The 27,079-nt window shown below is 52.1% G+C and overlaps 1 protein-coding gene across 13 annotated transcripts in view, besides 3 other annotated features; it reads left to right on the forward strand.

Moving 5' to 3' along the window:
• PHACTR3 (phosphatase and actin regulator 3) overlaps window positions 1-27,079 on the forward strand; it is a 270,203-nt gene that overhangs the window by 165,453 nt on the left and 77,671 nt on the right. For 9 of the 13 annotated variants that reach the window (NM_001199505.1, XM_017027626.3, XM_011528525.3 and 6 more), the window contains exons 2-5: window positions 146-307; window positions 4,797-4,874; window positions 12,221-12,403; window positions 24,225-24,434. In NM_001199505.1, coding sequence (NP_001186434.1) covers window positions 146-307; window positions 4,797-4,874; window positions 12,221-12,403; window positions 24,225-24,434 — 633 coding nt within the window. The remainder of the gene's footprint in view (window positions 1-145; window positions 308-4,796; window positions 4,875-12,220; window positions 12,404-24,224; window positions 24,435-27,079) is intronic. The other 4 variants (XM_017027628.2, XM_017027630.2, XM_011528526.3 and 1 more) reach the window with 1 other exon arrangement.
• Window positions 1,229-1,298: an enhancer, noted in NCBI's record as "active region_18190". NCBI's record gives its function as "activates an Ori minimal core promoter by ATAC-STARR-seq in GM12878 lymphoblastoid cells {active_cell/tissue: GM12878}" and the evidence as "EXISTENCE:reporter gene assay evidence [ECO:0000049][PMID:35858748]".
• Window positions 7,643-8,144: an enhancer, noted in NCBI's record as "H3K4me1 hESC enhancer chr20:58325659-58326160 (GRCh37/hg19 assembly coordinates)". NCBI's record gives its function as "activates a minimal SCP1, AML or CMV promoter by ChIP-STARR-seq in naive H9 embryonic stem cells {active_cell/tissue: H9 hESC(naive)}" and the evidence as "EXISTENCE:reporter gene assay evidence [ECO:0000049][PMID:30033119]".
• Window positions 9,367-9,696: an enhancer, noted in NCBI's record as "active region_18191". NCBI's record gives its function as "activates an Ori minimal core promoter by ATAC-STARR-seq in GM12878 lymphoblastoid cells {active_cell/tissue: GM12878}" and the evidence as "EXISTENCE:reporter gene assay evidence [ECO:0000049][PMID:35858748]".

A 27,079-nucleotide genomic window follows, 5' to 3' on the forward strand; every position in this document is an offset into this window, starting at 1 on the left:
GTGCACTGCTGGACAACCATCCTGGGGTCCAGGCTTTGGGGGGATCACTGGTGACCCCTTAGGGTGAGAGGTCATCACCTTGGGCCCCCAGGAGTCACATAGGTTTGGTGGCCACTTGAGGACCCCCTTGGTTTTCGTCTTCCAGATGAGATGGACCAAACGCCCCCGGCGCGTCCTGAATATCTGGTCTCAGGGATTCGAACTCCCCCTGTGAGGAGGAACAGCAAACTGGCCACCCTGGGCAGGATCTTCAAACCCTGGAAATGGAGGAAAAAGAAAAACGAAAAACTGAAGCAGACAACGTCAGGTAAAGGCCTGGTGACAGGCGCGGGCAGGCTGTGGCTGGGACCAGCGTCCTTGGCATGGTGCTGCGGCCCCTGCTGATCTGTGACTTCCTGGCCCCTACACAGGAGGGGCAGATGTGCTTCATGGCCTGTGATGGCCAGGAGCCATGCAAGTTACCCCGCTGGCCCCTCCAGGGCCCACCTGGCCTCCCTGAAGCCCTGGGGTGGAGTTGGCACCAGGCACCCCATGTGGGACGCTCTGCCCAGACCCTAAGGTGCCCACAAGTCCACTGGGACCTTGTTAAAAACGAAGCCTCTGATTTACTTAGGGCTGGGTTGGGCCGAGACACTGGCTTTGGAGCAAGGTCTCACTTGCTGGCTTCACCTGGGTGGTGAGCCCCCAGCCCACGCGACTCCCGCACCACCTCACCTCCCACACCTGCAATCTCACTTGGAGGATGCTGGGGCCTGGGTCGTACCCCCACAGATGCAGGTTTAGTTGGCCAAGAGCCTCCTGGGTGACTCAGGGTTGAGGCCGTCGGTTTGGCTTTGACACCTCTGGGCCTCTCTTCTTCCTGAAAGACAGAGGCTGCTCCCCTGCTCCTAAGCTGTCTCAGTGTGCCTTCCCTACACCCTCCCACCAAAGCATCCAGAAGGTTCCTCCACTCACCTCCTGCTGCCCCCTCACACCCTGCCAGCCCTGGCTCTGTGGGAAGCGGGATTGCGATGGCTGGTCCCGTTGCCCCCGCCTCCTCGGAATCCAGCTTGGGAACTGCAGCCATGAGGCTGAACCACAGACAGGGTGGACACAGGCAGTGATGACGGGACAAGCAGCCGTAAGGCACATAACGGCAGAACACGGCCCCCCAGCATTTGGCATGGAGGAGCCAACTCAACCCTCAGAACCTCCTGCTAGGCCAGCACTCCCGCAGGATCCTGCCCCATCGGAAGGGATGGGGAACAGGCCCAGAAAGGGAAATCACTCACCCAGGGTCACACAGCCAGCAGGTGGCGGGGCTGAGGCTTGGACCCTGGCAGCCGGGTGTGGTGGCTCGTCAGCCTGGGCTCTGCAGATGGCAGTGTTCTGAGAAGAGAGCCCGGAGGAGGCCGCATCTCCACCCCAGGGCCCCGCCTCCAGCCACATGCCTGTGAGCCACACCTAAAAACAATTAGTGAGGGAGCTGCTGCTGTGGAATCAGTCCCAGGCCTCAGGAACCAGCCCTGGCGAGTGCCCGTCTCAGGCTGTTGCCTCGGGGGGTCCCTGGGGTCCCATTTCCTTTCCAGCTCTGAAGAGGCGCAGGCTCCAGGGCTTTGAGGATGGTGGAGACGAAGGCCAGGTGTTACAGCGCCCAGGCCCACAGCAGGGGAGGCGGCCAACACCGACAGCAGGCCCTCCACTCATGCTTTTCTGTGTGCTTTACAAAATTATTATTATTATTTTTACCAACCAAGAAGTTGATAGATGAATTCTTGTTGAAGTGGAAACAGAACAAGCATCATCATTCGGCAGATCTTGAGCACCTCCTGTGTGCCCAGTACCAACAGGAGGGGCCCAGGCCCTGCCCACCCAGAGCTTTCCGCAGAGTAGGGAGTCGAGTGACAAAGTGTGGAAGCCACCAAGTGAACCAGCACGTGAGTCGATTGCAGACTCCGGCGAGGCTGCAAGGCAGCCTCCCTCACTGGATGCTAGGCTCAGCTAGGTGGGCGGGTTCCATTTGTTCCCCTGCATCTGGCAGGGCCCCTTGCACACACACGGCACTAATGGGCTCTTAGTGATCCAGGCTTAATGGCAGGATCACGGAGCAGGCCCTGGGGGGTGGAAATGAGCAGGGCGGGCACTGCTTTGGGCCCAGTGGTCCGAGAAGACCCAGGTGAGGAGGCTGCATTGAGCTGAGATGTAATTGGTTCATTGAGAAAGGCAGGGAAGAGCATGGCAGCAGTGGGAACAGCCCTCGAAAAGGCAGCGAGCTGGGGAAGGCACGTCTGTGCAGCAGTGAAAGGCCGGGGGACTAGAGCAGAGTGACCTCCGTGACCTCAGGGGGGTCTCTGACATTCTCCAGGCCTGCTGACCCCAGCAGTGGAACTGGAAGGCTGAGGTTTGTCTTCTGAGGACTCTGGGCTCTTTGGCCTACTCCAAGCTGTGCCGTGTGAGTTCACCAGCAAGATGCTCTGGGGACCCTGCAAGGGCATTGGAGGTCTCGAGGTTTTTACCTGCAGCATCCCCACCTTCAGGACCGCCATTCGGGCATCTGGAAATTCGAGGAACAGTGCTGCATTTTGTTTACTTATTCCAAACCACTATTTTCCTTTAAAGCAGGGGGTGTTATTTGTTTCAGCATATCAAATTCCTGATTTCACGGGCATCACGGGTTAGGATGAGTTGAAGTGAATGCAAAGATGATTGAAAGAGAAATATGTAGCAAACAGTGGTTTTGGTAGGCGAGGCTGGGGGAACCGGCTGAAGATGGCTCTCAGGGGCTGCAGGGTGGACCAGCATCTCAGTCCATGCCTGCCCTGGCAGGTGGCTCAGATCCACTCAGCCATTTACACACTGTACCACCTTCACAAGCTGCACCACCACTGACGTCCCCATCCCCGAGAGGGGGAGGGTAGAGCCTCGCAGCTGCATCTTTGGGTCATCGGGAAGTCCTTGAGTCAGTGCAGGCAAAGACCTGTGATGTCTGAGGCTAGCCACCATGAGCACCGCCTGGTGCCGGCCTGGGGACGGGGTCCACACAGAGCTCGAGGCCTCCACCCCTGTTCTTCTTATCTGCTTTGTGAGCCTGGCTGCAGCCTCTTTGCTGACACCTCCCAAGGTCAGCATTCACTTTGTCAATTTTATCCACAATTCTGGCACCTGGAAATTGGCTTGGAAATTGGGACCACAGAAAGGAAATTCTGTTTTCTCTGCCCAAAAATGTCCCCACCCTGCTGTGTTTGGGTTTCCCTTTTCATCCTTTGGCTTTAGGGTAAATATCCTCAGGGAAGCCACCCGGGAGGTCAAGGATGGGATGGGTTTCCCCAGACAACTGCCCCCCAGTCAGTCCCCCGCCCCAGGCCTGACTTATTCCTCCTCGCCCACTTCTAGACACTTGCCATCTGTCCTCCCACCTGTGCTGGCATCAGGCAGAGGCTGTGCCTGTCTTGCTCATGGCAGAATCTCCTGTGCCTGACATGGTGCCTGGCACACAGTAGGTGCTCAGTAAATGTGTAAGGGGTTTCCATAGATTGAACACCTGATCACCATGGCCTGTTCCCCCAGTGGAGCCCCACCTGTGAAGGCTGCAGGGCTTCTGCCCTCCGTGACTCCCCAGCACCCAGCTCAGCACTTGGCACATAGCAGGTGCTCAGGAAATGCTTTTGAGTAAGTGAAATAATTCCATTGCCAGTGCCTGTTTGTCATCTGCCTCCCCAACTAGACATTAAGCTAAGCCAGGTGGGCTGACTCTGTCTGTTCCCCGGCAGCTGGCAGGGCCCCCTGCACACACAGAACACTGATGGACTCTCTGTGATCCAGGGTTAATGGCAGGATCACGGAGCAGGCCCTGGGGTGGAAATGAGCAGGGCGGGCACTGCTTTGGGCCCAGTGGTCGGAGAAGACCCAGGTGAGGAGGCTGCATTGAGCTGAGATGTAATTGGTTCATTGGGAAAGGCGGGGAAATCATCACAGCAGTGGAAACAGCCCTTGCAAAGCTGCATCTTTCAAAGAAAGGGTTGAGGTGGTTATGTAGTCTTGTATTTGGAAATTGGGGCTCACCTGTAGGCAAACAGTTTTCCTGACGGAAGGAAGAAGATGATTGTGGAGCAGCCCGAGGCCTGCCTGTGAAAGAAGGGAGAATGGGACAAGGTGGTGGCCGTCGCTCAAGAGTGTTTTGCTCCGGGAAGGGGAGGCAGAAAGGGCTATTCTGAAGGCGGAATTGACAAAGATTTGGCAAATTAGGCTTGGTGGAAGGGGACTGGGGGCTGGCCTCCTCCCTTCCTGTCCATCTGGTAGACTGGAAGCTTTTAACCTGGGTTTATTGGAAGAAGCTCTAGTGGGAGAGCCGCACAGGAGAATCTCATCTGTGAGTGGATGTTAAGAGCGGCCAGGAGGCACTTCGCAAAGGCGAACAGGAACCACGGAAAGGAGCCCGGGGTGTTGGCGGCAGAGGGAGGGCACTTTCCTTGGTTGGTAATTTAGGGAACATTTGGTGAAGGGCAGGAATGGCTGGTGAGAGCTAGCTTAGAGAGGGGCGTTATATGTGCAGGGGCTTTCCAGATAAATCACAGAAATGATCGCTGTAGAATATCTACTGCGTGCACTGCTCTTTAGCTGTGGTTTATGCACATTGCTTAGCAGCACTCTTGGTAAGAAAGTTGGGCCTCGCCAGTGGACTAGGCCCCCTAACCCCGAGGCGCCTGCTAGCTCAGTGTTTTTGGTCTGTAAACTTGAGCCTGGCATTGGCTGTGGCTTGGACAGGGCCCAGTGACACCTTTGCCTGAGACTCACCTGTGTGTTTGTGTGTTGGGCAGCGCTGGAGAAGAAGATGGCCGGCAGGCAAGGCCGAGAGGAGCTCATCAAGAAGGGGCTGCTGGAGATGATGGAGCAGGGTAAGTGGGACCCGTCCCTGGCTTGGAAGGGCACGGTGCTGGGAATGCAGAATGGAAAGTCTCACATGAGCCCAGGAAGCCCATCAGAAACAGTGTAGAATCCAAGGAGGGCCGTGTTCAGATGAAGCCTGCAAGGTTGGAGAGACACCCCATGTCAGGAGCCATTCCATTGGTCCAGCCCCCAGGGGCACGGGAGACCCCATTACTGAGCTGAAGAGCTCCCCCTCATGGCACCACTCCTCTCTGGGGAATGTCTAACAGAGCTGGGTGTGCATGAATCTGGTGGTTTATCCCAATTCCTTTAAAGTGGTAGCAGTGGTTTTTTCAGCATTAATTTTTTTTTCATATTCACATTTCAGTCCTCCATTTGGGCAAATTATTTTTAATTCCACTATTACCTACTCCCCCTACCACCATGTAGGAAGCATTCAGGACATGCTGGGGCGGGGTGGGATATTGTGCACGCCCTGTCTCATTGGTCTTCCCAGCATCCCTGGGGAGAGAGGCAGCGGCTATCCCACTTGCAGACGAGGCGTGGGAGGGTCTGGGTGGTGACTGCCCCAAGTCATTGCAGCCTGAGAGCAGAGACACAGAACAAATCCTGATCTCTTGGTCTCTGGTCTAGAGAGCTTAATCTCAGTGGGGTCTACATAATCATCTTTGTTTCCATCTTTCAGAAAGGCCAGTTATTATCACTCATGCAATTAACTGAACAGAGTTCTTTAATTCCCAAGTCTTTCTCTTTGTGATGGATTCCTGGAGGTGTGAGGCCCAGGACTTAGATGCTGACACTAGCCCTTGGTGCCTTCCGGTTCCCTGAGAGGCTAAATCTTGGTTAGGAGGTTTCACAACACCTCACTGCCTCTGGAAGACTCTCTGGAGCTGGACCAAGCTCTGGCCTGCTGATTTGAGGAATCTGGCCATGCATAGCCAGTTTCCTGAGGCTTGCATGGATATATTGAATTCCTCTCTCCCCACTTCAGCCTTAAAATATTACTAGTGTCTTTGTAATTTGGCCCAAATATCAGGAATTAGGAAGGAAGCTCATGAAATAAACGAATCCAGATTTTATGCAGCCGGGCCTGTCAGCACACAAACCCGATTGTGGGCCCAGGCTTTTGTCATTGTTTCCTCTCTTTAGACTCGAAGAGTGAAGTATTTTGATGATGCTATTTTTAGGGGAAATCTACATGGGAAATTGCTTCATAGTGATAATAAAACCTTACATGTGCGAGGAAAGCTTGGTGTCAAGTCCCGTGGCACTCAGATGGTTAACGCCGTCGTGACGCTCGGATTTGGCGGAATGCGGTTGCTGAGCTAGAAATCTGGAGGATTTTCACTGGGATGGGACAAAAAAGTGTCAAACTCCGGCATTTTGAATATGTTGCCAACAAGCATACCTTTGGATCTTAGGGAAGGAGAAAGGAAGATGAAAACAATGCTAAGGCCTTTTCTCATCTATTCTAAAAAAAACACTACTTTTGTTGAGTAAAGAGTAAGTATATAGATTTGGTTCCTCTCAAAAATGAAGCTATAGTTTGACTAATTAAAGGGGAAAACTTCTAGGAGCGTTGGCTTTTTTCCACTCTGAATTTTTGCAAGATGACTTTGTCTGATGAAGTCATAGCAGAGGCTGGAGACGAATGCTTGGCCGCGGCCAGGCTGACAGTGTGGCTCTCACCCTGCTGCCGTGGGAGCCTGGTCTCTGGCTTCCGTGCCTCTGACGGCGACATCACACACCCGCAGGCTTACAGAATCACTTTAGATCAGGGTCGGCAAACCTTTTCTGGAGAGGGTCAGATAGTGCATATTTCAGGGGGACGTGCAGTCTCTGTTGCAACTACTTGTCTCTGCTTTTGTAGCGCAAAGGCAGCCGGAGACAAAACATGCATGAGAGGGCATGGCTGTGTCCCAAGAAAACTTTATTTATGGCCACTGGCCTTTGAATTTTATATAATTTTCATGTGCCACAAACTATTATTTTTCTTTTGATTTTTTTTTCTTTTGTCAACCATTTAAAGATGTCAAATCCAGGTGGGGGAGCTGGATTGGTCCCCACATTGTGGTTTGCTCATCTCTACCTTCCATACTCTCTCTCTTGCTAAATGATTGTGGACCAGGGACTAGAGTGGCCTGAAACACAGTCTCTTTCCTTGAGAGGGAAAATGCACTCCTAAATTGATGCCATGACATTTTATTGAGGGCCCACTCTGTGTCAGGGTCTGTGCTAGCTGCTGAGGACACAGGTGAGCAAAATACTGTTCTGAACGCACATCCAGTGGGGCCATTAGGTAATCCCACAAAAAGCCGGCAACTCACGACCACAGTGAGTGCAGTGAAGGATGCAGCACCCTAAGATCATGAGACAGGACCTGACCTGGTTCTCGGGGGGCCGGGAGATGTTTGAGTCAGGTCCAAAGGTGGGCAGGAGGACCTAGGCTGGTTCTCAGAGTCTGTTGCATATTAGGATCACCTGGAGAGATTTAATAACCCTCCACCGCTCAGGCAGCAGTTAAATTAGATGCGCTGGGCGTGGGACCCAGGCAGCAGTGCTTCCTCATCCTCCACAGCTGATTCCGACTTTGATGCAGGAAGGTTGAAAAGCCAAGAGACAGAAGGAAGCGGGGAGTGACTTCCAGCCCACAGGAGCAGCAAGCACAAGTCCCCGCGGTGGAAGGGACCTTGAGATGGTGGGTTGGGTTGGAGGAAAGGAGGAAGGAGGAAGCAGGAAAGGGAGAGGGGCTTGGGTCAAGACGCCTCCCGTCTTCCCTGCCCACACACCGGCTGGGGTGGCAGAGGCATGACCACGCTGCTGCGGGAGCCTGGGGCGGCCACAGTGCGAGTGGGTGGGATCTGCGAGGAGCCCGAGTGTCTCTGCAGGGAAATATCAGGGACCGGGCAGCAGGGGTTGCTCTGGGAGGGGACTTGGACTTGCTTTTCGCAGTCGACTCTTCTGTGCTGCTTGAATCCTTTACTGTGTGCCACCTGTAATCAACCTGTAATCAACGTGCTGTAATAACGGGATCCACGCAGATGCTTGGCCACAGGCTCCCGGCTAAATCCTTCCCTGCACCGCAGTTTCCGTCCTGCACTAGCTTCAAAAATGTCTTTTCTCACTGGGTCGACCTGAGGTCAGACCCTGTCTGTCCCTAATCCTCCTGGTGCTGGGTCACCGGGTCCTCTTGCAGGATGACTGGAATTGTTGGCGGTGGCTGTGCACCTGCCCTCTCCGGCTCAGGGGAGGATCAGGCTTGAGGGCTGTTGCTCTGGGGTAGGCACGCAGTGCCGCCGCCTCTGCTGTGGATGTGAGGACTCTCCAGGGTGAGGAGCAGAGGCGCTTTCCTGGCTTTGGGGTTAAGGAACCGGCTTCAGGGTTAAGGAACCGGCTTCAGCCACCGCCTTCCACTGCTGGCAGGGACGAATCTGCAGCCGGGGGCGCCCTCCTGTGGCCGGCCAGGCTCATGAGCCTCCCTGCAAGGTGGACGGGACTTCATGCAGGACAGGCCCTGTGAGGCTGTGGGAGTGGATTGTCAGGGACTCCAGAGCCTCATTTGAGCCCCCTCGAAACTCACATTTGAACTTCCTTGGCCAGGACAAACCCCAGGATTGCCCTCTGCCCTGCACACGCGCATGTATGCACACACACATGTACATACACATTGGACACCCTGGAGCTTGCCCTGAAGCAGGTGGGCAGCCTGGTGGAGTGAGCCGGACTCTGGGCAGGGCCAGCAGAAGAGAGCCCGCCAGCTCCCGGGGGTGAGGCAGCATCCAGGGCATGAGTTTGCTCCCTCTGGGGTGTTACTTTATGATCGATGGTCTGTTTTATGAACCACTGTGACCCCCTCCCCTCTCGTTCCTGTGACTCTAGTCGCCAGCTTGGACCTAGGAAGGACCCTGCTGGTGGCGTTATTACATGACTAGATGTGTGCAGTGGAGCCCGTTGTGCCCTGGGGAGGGCAGAGGGGACCCCTCTGATCTCTTCAGTGCTCCTTCCACCCTCGTCTCGGATATCCGTGACTAAGTGAGGCCAGACCAAATCTCTGGTACAAGGGGTCCCCTTCCCCAGCCCCCTTGCCCTGGTCCCCAGCCCACGTTTCTCTGTGCTAGACACTGTTTATGTTCTGAATGACTTTCCTCCATCTCCCTGTATGCGTTGACTTGGCATTTTCTTAAATAATTTAAGGAATTTCCTACCCCGTCATTGGGTATAAAAGAAGAGAGTTTATTACTCTGTGCTGTGTTCAGTGACTTGAGATTGACTAGGCATTCTTTCCTCAGGGAATTGGACAGTGACAAATCAAGTCTATCTGGTTTCCATGTGGTAGGAACGCCGGGGGACACATGTCTGCACGTGTGCACACACATGCACGTGCACCTGTGTGCACCCACCTGTGCTTGCACTGTGCACATGTGCCACGACACACGTGTGTGCCTGCGTGTGCATCTGTGAGTGTGTGTGCATGTCTGCAACACGTTCCCTCTCACTGTGGCTGCTCAGGTGCACTGCCCCGCGCTCCCCTCTGCAGCCCTCAGAAGGAGAGTGGCCGGGCGGAGGCTGGCCTTCCAGCGAGAGGAGCAGGGCCTGGGCTCCCACCGCTCCCCCAACCCCTCCCCAACCAGCGTTTCTTAGCAACGGCCCTGCCACCAGGGCTATTTTGGGAACTGAAACTTTTCACTGAACATGATTATGAGCTGGAGCTCTGACCGCAGCCCAGAGAAGTCCTGCAAGAAGTCCTTGCAGAAAACCTGCAAGAAAGCAGGGGAAGGTTCAAAGACTGTGGAGGGGCATGGTGCTTTTCTGAGTCTGGAGACCTCTGGGCCTTCCAGGTTCTATGTTCTGACCTTTTTATAGTGGCAGTTGTGATGATTTTGATGATGACGATGGAGGCATCCTTATTATTAACAGCAGTGACAGTCATGGCAGCAAAAGACCTGTGCATTCTAAGGTTTGGTGTCCATAACTGCAAGTGGTGGGTGGCAGCCTTGCCTGTCACATAGGGTAGGTGTGAAGCTCAAGCTGGCAGAGCCCTGTGCTCCCCTACGCCAGCTCTCACATTCCCTGTGTGTTGCCAGGGGCTGGGTAAGCTGTGCTGTCACGGTTGCACGTCAAATGCGAGTAAGTCGGTCACGAGAAGGGGCTGGTTTCAGTTTTCAGCTTTGTGACCTCTAATTTTGTCTACTCGGTGAGCTCTCTTGGCTTGTATCTGGGTTGGTGGGCTGTTATAGCCAAGGGTCAAATGTGGCTCAGGACCTGTTTTTATGTGGTCTTTGAGCTAAGAATGCTTTTTAAATAGAAAAGACTTTCATAAAAATTAAAAAAAAAAAATCAAGGGTTGCAGCACGGGGGATACAGCACGTGGCCCACAGAGCCCGTCACAATGGCCATCTGCGCCTTATGGGAAGAGCCTGCCAGCCTCGCCTGGACCTCTGGGCAACTGACGCGGCTGCATGGATGAGATCGTCCAGCCCTAAATCTCCAGACTTCTGGCATGGCTGACCTTTTCATTCTCCCCGGAGGAGACGTGTGCGGCAGAGGGAATATGATCAGCAGCGATGACAAGCTCAAATCTCTTCCAGGGTCCCAGGCAGGAAATGGGTCTGGCATGAGTCCTGGGTGTGGTGAGGACTCTGGAGGGAGAAACGGTTCTGTCCTAAGCCTGCTGTTAGCAGATGGGCCCAAAGGTGCAGACCAAGGGGCCAGATCACTCTTGTCACCCTCCTCTTCTCGTTGTCAGAAACCATCACCAACAACAATGACAGAAAGCACATGTAAAGTGCCTACCTTATGCCAGACACATTCCATACCCTAGCTCCGTTAATTCTCACTATGTTGCCATGAAGCAAGCAGAAATATTATCCCCATTTTATAGATAAGGAAATTGAGATCCAGAGGAATTTGCTATTTGGGCACAAAACACCGTTTGCAGGTGGTGGGACGCATGATGGGGTGACTGTATACTGTTTGTCCAAACAGGACACTTTTAGGAGTGAAAGGGACACTGTTGAAGGACACAGGGATGGCAGGTAGGAATCGGGACTGACCAGGTCCTATGGACCCTGACCCTGAAGTAAATGTTGCCTCCTCCTTCCACTGCCAGGATGGGACGTGTGTGGAAGGAGGTCAGCGTAGGCTAGCATCCCCAAACGGCCACCTCGTGGCTGTGTCGACATGTGCAGGTCACACTGCCCTCTGCACCGGGCCTCCAGGAACTGCTGTAGAGATTGAGAGGAGTCCTGCAGGGCTATGTGGAGGCTTTGTGCATGGGGCTGTAACGTGCATCTCAGTGACGTGACTGTGACTTGCTGGCCGAGGGCCCTGCCATCCTGCAGTTGGGTAACTGAGCCATTTATTTTGCTCTCCAAGTGCTGAGCCCCTCAGCATTAAGGTGCAAACCCAGGGATGGCAAGTGAAGGGCCAGACCCTCAGAGGCTGCAGCAGCCGAGCTTCAAGAGACGGAAAGCACCAGGTCCTTCCTTATGCCCTGCTAGTGCCTCCTCTTCTGGGAAGGCTGCCTGTCAGACCTAGGGACCCCCGGCTCTGTGGCCCCTCCATCCATGGGTGTGCCCCGTTCCTGGGCTCACGGTGCCATGTGTGGTCATCTGCGTGGCTTCCTCAGAGTGTGAGACCCCTGGGGGCAAGGACTGTATCTTACTAACCTCCACCTTGCCAGGGTTTATTACAGTGCCAGACACGTAGCCGGTGATCAGTAAACACCTGTTTAATGCCTGGCTGAGGGTCAAACGGTGGGTGCAGAGGTGAGTTGGTTCTCTGCAGCCATGACAACCCCTGCATCTCAGAGACCTACAGCAATCACCGTTTGTTGTCCCCTGTCTGGGTTGGCCTGTGATCTGCCCCGTGGGTCTGCTGACTCCAGCCAGCTGCTGGGCATGTCTTCAGGACAAAGGTCCAGGGAAACAGGAGGGACGAGCAGGGATGTGCAAGCACTTCTCATGCCAGTGCTGCATCATACCCACTGTGTCCCATCGACCAAAGCAAGCTCCAGGGCAGAGGCCGGGGTCAGAGTGGGGCTACTGCAAAGGTGCACGGCAGTGGGTGTGGACGTGGCTCAGGGGCACTGCAGTCTCCCACAGGTGTCGGAGGAAGAGTGCACACAGGGAGTGGAGTGTAAGAGCAGAAACCAGGCTAGGGTGTGCTGAGGTGCCCAGGGCTCCCCTGGAAAGTCCAGACTTGGAGAGGGACTCCTAGGGTGTGTGGTGAGGGGGAGAGGGGTGGGGGACCACCCAGAGCCTAGAATGGATACTTCTCAGAAAGACTCTTGGGACGACGGAAGGGATGAAGGAAGGGAGGTGCAGGCCCAGCTGACAGCTACATTTCCTTGTAGATGCTGAAAGCAAAACTTGCAACCCCGATGGAGGACCCCGATCTGTACAGAGTGAACCACCCACTCCCAAGTCGGAGACGCTGACTTCAGAAGATGCCCAGCCCGGAAGCCCCTTGGCCACTGGGACGGACCAGGTCTCCCTGGACAAGCCACTGTCCTCAGCTGCCCACTTGGACGATGCAGGTACTGGCTGGAGACCACGCGAAGTTGAGCTGCTCCTAGAATGGCCATACGTCCCCACTGTTGTCCTTGGCTATAGCTTAGGCAACAGCCCTCGTAGAACATTGTTCTCCAGAGAGCTGGGCCCGTGCTCTAAGCGCTGCCATGCTGTGCTGCCTGGCTGGGTTGAAGTGTTTGCTGGGGCACTTTTCTCTACTGTCTCTTTCCAAGTCTGGCACGGCTGATAAGTGAAGGTACTTAACGATGTTCATCTCCCTGGCACACCTACCCCCCCTCCCAGGGCGTCTTTGTGTTTCCCTGGGAACTTCTAGGCAGGAAAGTGCTCTCTGGAGGGGCAAGTGCCCAGTGGGGGGATTTTAGTGACCCTAAAAGGGTAGGAGGTAGGGTTGAGGGACTTTTCTGTGGCCGAAATCCTGCCACAGGGGGCCTCTTGGCCTAAGAGATGCTGAAGTCCCTGCATGTGTGCATGCCTGGGAGCTGGTCGGTGCTGATGCAGTCTCAGCATGCTGCAGCCTATGTGGGGCTCTTCCGCTGCTTCTTGAGGGGAGGTGGGCTTGGTGCCTTGCTCCAAGCCTCAGTTTCCCTCTGTTAAATGGGAAAAGTAATGGACCTACATCAGGGTTGTTTGGAGGGTGGGAGGAACTTAGCAGTGTCTGACGTGTAGAGTGACTATTATCAAAGGCAGTAGGGGCTTTGCGTAGTGGTGGTGGTTTTTATTTTAATTGAATAGACCAGGGCGCTTCCCAAGGATAGGGGAGAAGGGAGGAAGGATAGAGGGGAGGAAAGCAGGAACTGGCCACAGACACCTGCAGATGCTTCACCAGCTCCTCCTCCTCCTGCCCACCTGGCAGAGTGATTCTTACGGAGCTTCACTGTTGACTTGGAATCCTGATGTCTCGTAAAATTTCAAGCTATAAGCGAGTCTCACACGGTTTGGGGGTGGGAAGGTGAACGCGTCTCTCCGTGAGTGTGGGAGGTTGGAAATCCAGGCCCCAGGACAGCCTGCTGGGCTTCTGCTTCAGAGCGGGTGGACACCTGGTCCTCCGTGCCCGGGACTTCCTTCTGCCACACAAGGGTGGCACCACACACTCGCAGGCCGCCCGTCCACAACGCCCCTGCAGCGCTAGCGGCACCTGCCCAGAGGCATGCTCAGCCCTCTTCGGGGGTGGCCGTGTCTCTCCAGTTTCACTTGGCTTGGAATTTGGGGTCTGAGAGTTGTGACTTCTGGAGGGTCCCAGCTCTCACGCAGAGGCCCCCTCCACACACACAGGTCTCTGTGTGCCCCAGGCATCTGACTTTGGGGCTGGCGTGGTTCTTTTTTTTTTTAATACTTTAAGTTCTAGGGTACATGTGCACAACGTGCAGGTTTGTTACATATGTATACATGTGCCACGTTGGTGTGCTGCACCCATTAACTCGTCATTTACATTAGGTATATCTCCTAATGCTTTCCCTCCCCCTCCCCCCACCAAGCAATGGCAACAAAAGCCAAAATTGACAAATGGGATCTAAACTAAAGAGCTTCTTTGCAGCAAAAGAAACTCCCATTGGAGTGAACAGACAACCTACAGAATGGGGGAACATTTTTGCAATCTACTCATCTGACAAAGGGCTAATATCCAGAATCTACGAAGAATTCAAACAAATTGATAAGAAAAAAACCCCACCACAAAGTGGGTGAAGGATATGAACAGACACTTCTCAAAAGAAGATATTTATGCAACCCGCTGGCATGGTTCTTAAGGCTGAGCAGAGCCTGGCCTTCCTGCCGTGGTGTGGTCCCCACAGCCCAGCCCTTGTGTGTGGCCTGTGAGCCTCCCCAAGGGAGGCAGGGCTGCTGCTCCCAGCCCTTGATGGGGGTCACGCTTCTCCTTGGCAGTGATTTCTGTAGCTCAGCTCAGGGCCTGTGCCTGCTCCCCTCAGTGCCCTCTTCTGACCTCAGACACGCTCCCGCTCTCTCTCCAGATGCTGGGTGTGCGGATGGGTTCCTGAGAGCAGAGTGGGTCTGTTGAGATTACACATTTGTATCAGGGACCCTCTCCTGAGTGAGGCCTGAGGGAGGAGTGGGAATCAGCTGGGCAGAGAGCGAGGTGCAGAGCATCCCAGAAAGGGGAATGACATGCAAAGACAGGGGACAGGAACACACACGTTTTCTGTAAAGGGCCAGAGAGGAAAGAGCATGAGCTCTGCAGGCTGGAGGTGTCTGACACAGCCACTCGCCTCTGCCCCCTGGTAGCACAAAAGCAGCGTCGGTGGTGAAAGGGTGGGGCTCTTGTCGGTGGAACTTTAGTGATTAAAAACAATCCAGGGCCCGGTGAGGTGGGTCACACCTATCATTCCAGCACTTTGGGAAGCCAAGACAGGAGAATCACTTGAACCTAGGAGTTCAAAGTCATCCTGGACAGCATAGCATGACGCCATCTCTACAAAAAAGTTTTGTTTTTTGTTTTTGGTTTTAATTAGCTGAGTGTGTGGGCACACACCTGTAGTCCTAGCTACTCACGAAGCTGAGGCGGGAGGATAGCCTGAGCCCGGGAGGTCAAGGCTGCAGTGAGCTGTGATCACACCACTGCACTCCAGTCTGGGCGACAGAGCCAGACCCTGCTTCAAAAAAAATTCAAAATAAACAGCCCACAGAATGGAGAGAGAGAAGAGACCTGGCAGGTTATCCCTGAGGGCAGCTGGAACCCCCCAGGGATGGAGAGTCGATGGGATTTGCCTTGTAGGAAGCGCTCTGCTGGTGACCCAGCAAGACCTGGGGGAGACTGGAGCCGTGCATGGTTCCCTGGGGACTTGTCTCATTCCCAGCTTCCCCAGTGTGGGTCTTGTGCTCCTGGGATTTGTGAGATGACTTCTTGTGAATGGCATGTGGACAGACAATGAGAAAACATTATTAATGTTCAATTAATAATGAAAAAGTTTAAACATTAATAATGAAAATACTTTTCAGTAATTAGGGCAAGTAGTATTGGCTTCTCATTTTGGGCAATGATAGAGATTTGCTTTTTCTTATAAACAGAGATAAAAATATAAATTCACTTAAAGTAAAATATAGCAAACAAAAGTATAGAAAGTACAGAGGAATGTCCAAAATGTCTAAAGCAGGAGCCACAAGTCTGATTTAAGAAAGACCATTCCATTCCCTAGGGATGCAGCTGGCTTATTAGCAGTTAGTGACATTTGTCATCATGCTGGGGATAACAAGAGGTGACACAAGTGGCTGCCTGCATGCAGGGTTGGGGAGCGTGCTCTACTAATGACTGCACATTCATTTAGCTTACTTAGCCCTGGAAGCAGCCCCCGGAGATCTCACGCCCATGATGAAATGCTGGCACAAAAGTCGAATAACTGGTCCAAATGACTGGAAACAGAGGGCAATGTCTTTGACATCAGGCCGACCTGGGTTTGAGACACACGGCTGAACTCCTTACTGAGCTGTGGGACCATGGGCAAGTGACTTAACCTTTCTGATTATGTTTGATCAACTGTAAAATGAGGATAGTAGTCACACTGACCTCCCAGGGTCGCTAAAATTAAATTAAGTGATCCCCAGGAAAGACTTATCTCCCTCCTAACCCACACCGAGCACTTGGAAAGTGTCTGCTGCTGCTACTGTAGCATCACTGTTACTCTCACCATCATCGTTGTCATCGTCATTGTCATCTGTTGTCTTCATTGTCAAAAACAACCCTTGGAAAGGGACGCACTAACACGCATTATTTAGCTGCCTACAGATGCTCCCAGAGAGGCCATCTCTCTGGTAGCATGTGTGTTTTGGGATGTGGGGCCACCTGCAGTTTGCTATGGCTGGGACAACCCCGAGGCCTCATCCAGCCCTGCAGGCCTGGGATCCTGCGCCAGGGACCCTGCGCCAGGGACATCGGTCACCTCCACAACACCAGGTCAATGTTCAGAAGCTTGGCCATGAGCAACATCCCTATAAACGGGGTATAACTTAACACAGGGACATTAAATGCACTGGTTAAAAATTTGCAAGCCAATGTTTAAAAATCAGGAGTGTTCACAGAAATCCAGATGTGCAGTTTCTTTTCAGTCATCAAAGTTCAGGCCTCCGGATCCCTGTTCCCACACAGCCAGGGTCGCTGGAGCTGAACAGAGTCTGTCCCTGTAGATGGGTGTTGGAGTTTGCAACCCTTTCCATGAAGGTTAAGAGCCTAGTCTTTGGAGCCAATCCCTGTGTTACTGACTTAATCTTCTGCTTTGGGCCCCAGTATTTTGTGATAGAAGGAGTTAAAGCTTGAGGCCACTGTGAGGCAACGTGGTCCTAGGTCTCCGGTTTCTACTGCAGAGCTCAGGGGGACCAGCTGTTAGATGCTGTGTGTCTGATGCTGTCTGTTCTCTTCCCACATTCTGCACCTCAGCACCCAAGGGAACTGCCCACATCTGGGCCCAGTCGCTCTGTGTTGTGGGTAATTCCATGACAGACAGATGTCATCTAATGGCAGACAAAGCCAGATCCTCAAGTGGCAAATGTGTCACGTGAGTGCTGGAACCTGGGACCTGCTTCTCTCCTTGACCTTGGACAAGTTCAGGGAAACCTCATGGGGGCCCAGAACATGGTGCCCCGTGGGTGATGGTCTACACCTGCAGGAGCCCCTGGGGTGTCTGCAGTGGTGCTCATTGCTGTCCTGAAAGGTCAGCTGCTTTCTCTTAAAAAGCAAACCTCCCATGAGCTTTGCTGGGGGTCGGGGAGAGGGGTCATCAAAAAGCACAAGGGGCTGTCCTGGGTCACTCCTGGCATCCAGGTGGCAACATCCAGGACTGGAGTTGCAGCTTCCCCGTGCCCCAACCATGATGAGTGTGGGTGTCAGGGGATACATCTGAATATTGCAAATCTCTCAGGAGGAGGACACTGTCAATGATTTTGACCATTATTTTCCTTGAGCCTTTGGTTTGGTGATTTGGGTTGACTTTGGGCTTTTGTGTTTGGGGCGACTTTGCTTTTCCTGGTTTTGTTTGGATGGTGCCCGATATGGTTTGGCTGTGTCCGCACCCAAATCTCATCTTGAATTGTAGCTCCCATAATTCCCACGTGTGGTGGGAGGGACCTGGTGGGAGATCATTGAATCATGGGGGTGGTTTCCCCAGTACTGTTCTCATGGTAGTGAATAAGCCTCATGAGATCTGATGGTTTTATAAGGGAAAACCCCTTTTGCTTCGTTCTCATTCTCTTTTGTCTGCCACCATGTAAGATGTGCGTTTCGCCTTCCGCCATGATTGTGAGGCCTCCCCAGCTATATGGAACTATGAGTCCATTAAACTTCTTTTTCTTTATAAATTACTCAGTCTCAGGTATGTCTTTATCAGCAGCATGAAAACGGACTAATAAGTGCCACACCAGCAACAGAGCATTCCCTACAAAGCCCAGAAGGATCCGGTGTTTTGACACAAATGGGAACAGGGTCCTCTTCAGTGTTTCTACTATGGGACAGGGGCTGAGTTCTGGCCTTCCCACAAGTGCACTAATTAAAAAGGAGAGTGACACTCAGGGAGCGTGTTCTGTGTGCACTCTATTATCTTATAACAGCCTCATATTTTTGGATGAGAAAACAGAGCCCAGAGAGGTTAAGTCACTTTCCCAGGCCATAGAGCATAAAAACAGATCAAACCCAGTGGCAGGACTGGGTTTGATCTTCACCATAACAGTCTACAGCCTAAACTCTAGAGCCAAACAGGAGACAAACATTTCTTCTGCTTCTGGAATGTTCTGGAATGTGAGTCTAGAACAAGGACTGTCAAATTGCAGGCTTCAGGTCAGATACTGCCCATGTCTGTGTCTGCATGGCTGTGGAGCACTGCTCTAGTGGGCCGGTCCTGGGAGCCAGGGAGGGAGGGGTGCCTCCCTCCCTGTGCCCTGCTCCTGTCTTCCTAGCTGGTGGCTGCCCTTAACCACTGCCTGGGGCCTATGCTGGTCCCAGCTACCCCTGGGGCCTGGGCTCTGGGCAACTGCTGGGCACCGAGTGGAGGAACCTCATCTGGGAGTTGGTGAGCCACCTGGCCCACAGCCAGCTGCCCAAGCTGAGACCAAGGTTGTGCTGGGTGTACGGGGGTGGAGTACAAGTGACCATGGCTCACCACATCCATCCTTGGGCTGGCCACCCTTGAACTCCAGAATGTCTTCAGTGGGTGGTAACTGGCTGCAAAGTGTGTCCCCTGCCCTGGTAGCCCTCTTGAGGCAAGTGGCAGGGCAGAGTTTTTCCTCTTGTTTAAGTTCCTACATAATATTCTTGATTTTGCCTCTTAGCCTGGAAAGACAAAAATGTTTACTATCTGCATCTGAACAGAAAAGGTTTATCAGCCCCTGCTCTGGAAAATAAGTGGGGATTACACAGAAGGGTGTCAGTGGAACATGCTCAGCAAAGAGGTACCAGTAAGTCATGAACTTGTGGCGCTGTGGTTGAGCTTCAGGTATTTCCATTCCTAGCCCTGACCCCTGCATTGGGGTTTGTACAGTGTAGAAGCTTCTGGTTGAGACTGCATTTGGTAAGAGGGAGCCTCTGCTGGTCCAGCCCCAAGGGAGCGGTCCCCCAAATGCAGGGAACCAGTGTCTTCTTCCACTTTTTAAAAAATTGATTCAGCACTTGAGATGTTAACAGATGTTGCAATTTCAGTTTTGACAAGATTCCAAAATACAACGGTGGCTGCACACTCACGTGAGATGCAGAGGGCGGTGTCAGAGAGGAGAGGGAAGATGGGGAGGAGGGAGGGAGAGAGGAGATGCTGAAAACCGTCTCCTGTCCTTAGAGCCATCAGGCAGGCTAAGGATGTGAGGGTTCAGTGTGTGGTGAGGATGGATGTTTTGGGGGAGACTTTGGAGGAGGGTTTTGGTCAGCGTAGCTGGTGTGGTGAGTCTCATGGCCATCAGGGTGAAGGGTGGGGAACCCATAGTCCCACCTTGGGCAGGTGGAATGAGGGGACCTCAGAGACTTACCCTTTACCCTGTGCCTTAAGGCAGTGGCACTATGACCATTGACTCAGTCCTGGGAAATCCAGAGCTCCCCTGTCCAGTGCAGTAGCCACTAGCCATGTGACTGTTTGAAATAATTAAAATTTAAGCTTGTTTTTCACTCCAGCCGCTTGTCCAGTGTTCAGTGGTCATGAGGGTCTAGTGGCCACCATATGGACAAGGAAGAAATGTGTCCATCATCTCAGAAAGTGCTACTGGGTAGTACCGAGGGTCAGGGTGGCTGCACATCTACTTTGCTGTGAAACAAGGGCAGATGTAGTTTGGATTGGCTAGCCTTCCAGAGTTCTCCATACTAACAGAGACTGTAATAGCAACAGAGGCCACATGGCCCAAGCTGGAAATATTTTCTACCTGGCCCTCTGCAGAAAAGGCCTGCCAAACCCTGGTTTGGAGAATGGGTTTCCACTGGGGTGGGAAGCATTGCCAGGAGCTGGGAGGCTGGTGAGGAGGCCCAGGCAGAAGTTCTGACAGCTCACACTGGGAAACACGTGGGTATTTCTGAGAAATATTTTCGAAGTAGAGTTCGTGAGACTTGCCTGTGAATTAGATACAAGGGGTGGGTACAGGGTGGAGAGGACAAGAGAAGGATGGCGTGGGGCATCTGGTCTGGCTGGACAGCTGGTGGGTCATGGAACACTGAACCTGGTGAAAGTAGGTGATATGGTTTCGCTGTGTCCCCACCCAAAATCTCATCTTGAATTATAATCCCCACAATCCCCATAATCTCCACGTGTCAAGGGAGAGGCCAGGTGGAGGCAATTGAATCACAGGGGGGCAGTTTCCTCCATGCTATTCTCACAATAGTGAGTTCTCACAAGATCTGATGGTTTTATAAGAGACTCTTCCCCCTTCACTTGGTACATGTCCTTCCTGCCGCCTTGTGAAGAAGGTGCTTACTTCTCCTTTGCCTTCTGCCATGATTGTAAGTTTCCTGAGGCCTCCCCAGCCATGCTGAACTGTGAGCCAATTAAACCTCTTTTCTTTATAAGTTACTCAGTCTTGGGCAGTTATTTTTAGCAGTGTAAGAAGAGACTAATACAGTAGGGATCTGTCTGGATTAGTGCCATGTCCACAGCTTCTAGAATAGTGCCTGGAACCCATGGTTGTTCAATAACATTTGCAAGATGGGTTGATGGTTGAATGAGCAAGAGGGAAGGGAAGGCTCAGGAGAATTTTTTGTGGGGACCAAGATTCAAGTTTGGATGTGATTGGCCTCCAGATGGAGATGCCAGTGTGGCCAACTGGTAACATATGAGTCTGGAGCTCAGAGAAATGGTCCAGGGTTAACAGAGAAATGGAATCAGTTCTGAAGCCAAAGGAGTGGATGAGAATGACCTGTGAGAAGGTTAGACAGGGAAGAGGACCTAGGCCTTCATCCTGGGGCAGCCCAGGTGGACATTCAGATGCAGGAGGTGGGACCTGCCAGAGAGGCTGAGCAGAGGTGGCCAGAGCTCCAGGGGAGAACCAGGAGAGTATGTGTCGGGAAGCCAGAGGGGAAAGTGTTAAAGATGGTGGATGGCTGAGTGGGGTGGCCCTGGCTCAGTGAGGGGGCCAGGCCTTGCTGGGTGGAGATGCAGTGTTAAAGGTCATCTTTCATAAGTTTATTTTTCAAAGGAGCAGATAATTGTAACTAAGCTGGGAGTATACATGAGGTCAAGACTGTTTGGTTTGGTTTTGGGTAGAATATTTTAGATCTTGTTGGGATCCTGAAAAGAAGGATAAGTCAGTGATGCAGGCCAAGCGGGACAACCTGTCAATAGCTCAGAGGGATGTGGAACTGGCCCAAGTCAGTGCTTATCTAGTGAAGTCTTATGTGGAGATCAGACATAGAAGATAGATCCAGATGATTGGCTGGGGCTGACCCAGAAGTGAGGACACTGACCCCAGGCTGCCCTTCCTCCCTGGTATGAGGACACTGACCCCAGGCTGCCCTTCCTCCCTGGTATGAGGACACTGACCCCAGGCTGCCCTTCCTCCCTGGTAATGCTTCCTTTGGTGGCACCTCTGAGCAGACCCTTGGAGCCTGGTTCAGACGCTGGCCACATTGTCCTGGAGGAGATGAGTCAGAGGAGTGCTGAGTAGCTCTAGACAAACCTTCCCCACCATGGTTTCATGTTGGCCTTTCCATACTTGTAGTGGGCAGGTTCGGGTATTTTATACAGATTATTGTACAGATGAGGAGACTGAGACTCACTAAGCAAGGTGGAGGCCAAAGTCACTCGTCTGTAAATAGGTCAAACGTATGGAGGAAGGGGGCGGATGCTGGATACTGGTGTAATTGAGGCCGGGTGAGCCAGTTCCGTGACATCTCTGTCTCCCAAAAGCAGGACTTTGGAAATGTGCTGGGTGACCAGTACCCTGAGAGCGTAACCCATTCACAAAGAAGCGTTCAGGAACAAGAAGTCCTGTAAACCCAAACAATCAAAGCAGGGTGTGGATGCAAGGACCATATTAAAGGACTTCAGAATAATAGATGTGTGAATATCTGAAAAGGGGTGGGACCCCCCCAGGAAGAAACTTCCTAGAAGAAAACTAGGCCTGGGCTGGCTACTGAGAGCTCACCCCATGCCTGGTGGTCTTGGCCAGGAACTTGGCTGCCGAGGAAATGGGCTGTGAAGTGTGGTGTCCCAAGAATGAGGGTGTCCACTTGCCTGTGCTGATTTACACAAGACAGAAAACTCCACAAAGTTATAACTGGAACCTACATAGAGAAAATGGGCATTTCTGTGCTTACCTGTGGCTTAACAAGGACACCTCACAACTATTTTTACCTAGAAAGCATAAAATATTTACTTTGATGTTGTTATCAGGGCAAAACTTACTAAGTGAAACAACTAATCAGAGTTGTAGACTCTTAGACATTATAGGTTACAAGTCAGATGACATAATGACAGTCTCAAAGCATAGGAGTCTTAAACCCTTTTTAACAAGTAACACTTTTGAGGACAGTTTAATGTAACAAGAAAAATAAAATGAAAACAGCATTTTCATGTGGGTATCCATGCAGAACAAGAGTATAGAGCCAGTTGTAATGGTTGTTCTCAGTTCAGGCCAACTTCATAACACAGAGCTGAGTCTGCCGTCTGCAGCTGGAGTATGTGTTGTTGAGGGAGAACAACACATACTCCATCTCTGCTTTCAGAGATTTTGTTCTCCAGGCATTAGGAGGGCTGGCCTTTCTGAGATAAGGACTCCATTGTCATGAACTTAACATAAGAAAGGGCTGGGAATGAGAGTTTAAAACTTCCAACATAGCCAATAAAGGAACGGAAACTAATGATAGCTAATGGGATACAAGGAGCGTGCAATATTTGCATCTGGTGTTTAGCTGGAGGCTCTCTGCAGGCAGGAATTAGGCCTGTTGTAACACCCCCTCCCTGACCACTGTGTTTTCAGCACCATGGACAGCACCCAACAGCTCTTGGGTACCTCCAGAAACAGCAGCTGATAGATGAATGAACCCCATAGGAGCTAACACAGTGACCCAAGGACAAGCCCCAGCTCCACTAGGCTTTTCCCTTAGACATACAGTGGGGAGAGTGTTCGTGTGTTCTTCATTGGGTAGTTGTAAAAACTGAATAAGATGATGTATGCCAGGTGCCTTCCACAGGCCTTAGCACTCAAGAGTGTGCTGAGAGGGCAGGAAGTGAGGGAGTGCTGGTCCCAGGGAGACCATCTCTCTTGGATCAGAGGGAAGGAAGAATAGAGATGCTGGGGACAGCAGTTTGCATTTGAGTCAGAAATCCAAGAGGAGCCCCGGTCTGATGACCTCAGTTTCCCCTGTAAAGCTGGAGGTGAAGCTGTGTGGTGGGAGCAGGCAAAGGTGGGAAGCTGGAGGTGGGGAAGGGACAGAAAGGGCTTGAGCAGTCATGCAGAGCACCTGCAGGAGGAAGCTCCTGGCCACGGGTCCTGCAGAGTGACAGTTCTTCCTGAAGTGGACTCCGTAGGCTCTTCCTCCTGCAATAGTAGGCAAGGGCAGGAGCAGACAAGTGGCAGCTTAATCCCCAGATGAAACTTTTCCAGAGAGTTAAATGGAAAGGAATCCAGGCAAAGGACTTAGGGACTGTTGGTCCGATTGTTGTTGAAATAATGGATGATGGAACCCAAGCCAGGCAAAAAGAGAAATAAGAAAGGGAAGGATTGATAGGTTGAGGGAAAGCTGGGGATGGGCAGGCTGAGGGGTGGTTGTGAAGGAGGTGGATGGAGCCTGAATCAGCAGCTAGAAAGGGAGGGATGAGGGTTCTGGGTGGCCTGACCCTTCCTCCAAGTCGATCCTTCCTATCCTCACTCCCACTCTAGGCTGGCATGCCAGATGTTAGGGCTGCTGCAAACAGACAAATAAGAATGAGAGCTGCTGGACTGGAGGGTTACACTGTGTCATGGCCACTTCTTGCTTAAACTGAGAAACAATCCTGTGAGGGACTATTGTTAACACAATGCCATGCATGAGTAAATGGAGTTTTGGAGAGATTTAGTAACTTAAGGTCCAAGAGTAAATTCAGAGACCACTTGAGCCTGGGTGTGTCTGACTCCAAAACCTGGCATGGTGAACACTGCTCCTAGGTGAGGTGGGAGCTGTGGCATGGACCTCTCATGTGGAAAAAAGAATGGAATCCCTCATACTATTGAAATGACTTCCCTCTCTCCATATTCCTCTCTCTGCTTCCGATGGTTCTATTGAGAGTTGAACTTGCAGGAAGTCAAGTGCCTGTGTGAGGTCACTGCTCTGTATGCTCTTCACGATCCCATCCCACCAAACCCTCTTGCTTTGCTCTCTTACTTCCACTGCTGTCAGAGGAAACATGTTTTTAACTCTCTGCTTTGCCTTTGAACCAGCCAAGATGCCTTCTGCATCCAGTGGTGAAGAAGCAGACGCTGGCAGCCTCCTGCCCACCACCAATGAGCTCTCCCAAGCCTTAGCTGGGGCTGACTCCCTGGACAGTCCTCCCAGACCTCTGGAGAGATCCGTGGGCCAGCTCCCCAGCCCCCCACTGCTGCCCACTCCGCCACCCAAGGCAAGCTCCAAAACCACAAAAAATGTCACAGGTGGGTCCACATGCATCCTGCCCATTCTATTTCCTTTCTCTGCCCCATCCATCCATCTATCCTACATTCATCCACCCATCCATCATCTATCTATTTATTCACCCATTCACTCATCCATCCATCCATACCTTCAACCAGTCTTGATTGGGCACCAACTGTGGGCTGGTTCTCATCATTAGCTTCTGTGACTGGGGCTCAGGGCAGGCCCAGAGGAGTAGATCTTACCAAGGAAACTGTGGTTGGCAGGAGTAGACTGCCTAGGCTCCCTCAAGCAAACAGGGGAGTCTCTTTGCAGGAGTCAAAGGGGGGATCTTCCAGGACCTGAATGCAAGAGGTGCAGCCAGTTCCCAGGATGGGGCTTGGCTTTAGCTTGGCTTGGCTTTTCTTTTTCTTTTTTCTTTTCCTTTCCATTCTGTTCCTTTCCATTCCATTCCATTCCTTTCCTTTCCATTCCTTTCTGTTCCATTCCATTCTGTTCTGTTCCATTCCATTCTTTCTGGATGCTCATGTGTCTGTCTTTCTCTTTGTGCTTCTCTCTGAGTCTCAGTCTCTTTCAGTCAGTCTCTCTCCCTTCCTCCCTCCCTCTCTCTGCTGGTCTCTGTTTTGCTGTTTCACTTTCCAGTGAGTTCTGTCCAGCAAGGCAGAGCCAGGAGTAAACAGCAGACATTGGTGGTCAGATAGGGGTGCACAGCTGGACAGAGGCCCCCACAGTCATACACTTATGTAGCTTTTGTCACACTGGCAGAATAATCCTAGCAAGTAGAGATAATTACTTTGCAAGCTTAGGTATTTTTTATCTGGAATTGACTGCTACAAACAGGACACATTGATGGTCTCAGGGAAAAAGTAGGCTGTTGATCAAGAGATAATGACTTTTCAGAGTAAAGCCTTGCGTGCTGTCTTTGAAGGCTGTGGGCGTGAAACATGATGCATAGCAGGGTTTGACAGTTTTGTTACAATCACCTAACCAGTGATTAACCACCATCAATAATTGCCATTTGCTGGGTAGGCACGAGGTGCCCCATTTATGGTTGAGAAAACAGGCTCAGGAAACTCCAGTAACTTGTCCCAGGTCCTGGAAATGATTGAGACTTTTGAACCCAGTTTTTGGGCCCAAAGCTTGTTGCTACCACACGTGTGGCCAGGGGCTGGTGCCCTCCCCTCTGCGATCTCACCTAATCCTCATTGTGCTTCTTCCCAGTTTTCATGAAAGAGGGAACTGCCACCTTTTGGAAGAGGTGTCAGCTGCTGAGACAAGGAGAGCCCGGGCATGAGCTCGGGAGGGCTGGGTCCCAGCCCTTGGCTCTTTTCTGGGGACCTTACTGCCCCTTATGGGGTGAATGTTCAATCTGGAGGGGACTCTTGGGTGGAAAATGCTTTCAGTGGGGCATTTTCCTTGTACACCTAACACGAATTAAGTATTCCAGTCTAACTGATGATTCTCAGCCAGATACCACAGAAACGGAGGAGGTGAGATGCACCCCACAGGGGGCCTCTTTAGCTGGGACTGCAGATGTCCTGGATGGGTTAGATGTGGGGCTGTGGTGCCCTGTGGTTCCCCAAGTAGTATTGGTTTGTGGGAGAATGTGCTGCTGGGTGGGTGGAGGGATGAGTGAGGGGGCGCCCCCGCCACCCCACCACCCTGAGACTTGGCCCCAGCTGTTCTCCCTGACAGAACATTCTCCCTTCCTGCTTTGCCTGGTCAGTACCTTTGCATGCTTGGGACCACAGCTCAAGCTGTTTCTCCTCCAGGGGAGCCAGCCCTGACCCTTGACCTCATAGCACCATGCGCCCCATCTTCCAGCATTTACCACATTGCCCCACCTTGTTTAGTGGGTTGAATGGTGTCACCCCAAAATTCCCATCCACCTGGAACCTCAGAACATGACCTTGTTTGGAATAAGGGTCTCTCAACTGCCATTAAGTTAAAGATCAAGCTGAGCTCATGCTGGATTCGGTTAGGCCCTGAATCCAATGACAGTGTCCATGTGACAGGCAGGACAGGACACACAGGGATGGGACTGATGCATCCACAGAACGCCAAGAATTTTCCGGGGGAGAGGCCTGGGACGGCATCTCCCTCACAGCCTCAGAAGGAACCAACGCTGCCAGCATCTTGATTTCAGACTTCTGGTCTCCAAAACTGTGAGAGTTGTTCTGTTGCTTTGGGCTGCCCAAGGAGCCATACACGCCTTGTCTGTTGGATGGTTTGCCTCTCTCTAACCACCTGCCCCCCAGACAGTAGTCCCTGAGAGACGGCCACACGTCTGTGTTCACTGTCAAATCCAAGTGCAGGCATAGTACAGGGCATACAGCAGGCACTCAGCAAGTGCAGATGATGGTTGGATGGATGAATGAATGAGTGAATGAATGCATGCGTGCTCTGAACCCTGTCTGTCTGCTTTCTGCATCTTTCTACATCTCTGTAGATGAATCCAAATATTCAGTCTTTATGCAACATGGCCACATAAATTACAGTACAAAGTTTGAGGCAAAACTGTGCTACTTTGCATTTTGTTATTGTCTTTGTGATAGCTCCCTTTTTCCTCCATTGAAACCTAAAACCATTTAAAGTCCATTCAATTAGCCACCATCCACCTCATTTTATTCTGGCGAATGTATAATTTGTTCCTGGCCCTCAATAA

The sequence above is a fragment of the Homo sapiens genome, chromosome 20, assembly GCF_000001405.40.
Source record: "Homo sapiens chromosome 20, GRCh38.p14 Primary Assembly".
Classification (NCBI taxonomy): domain Eukaryota; kingdom Metazoa; phylum Chordata; class Mammalia; order Primates; family Hominidae; genus Homo; species Homo sapiens.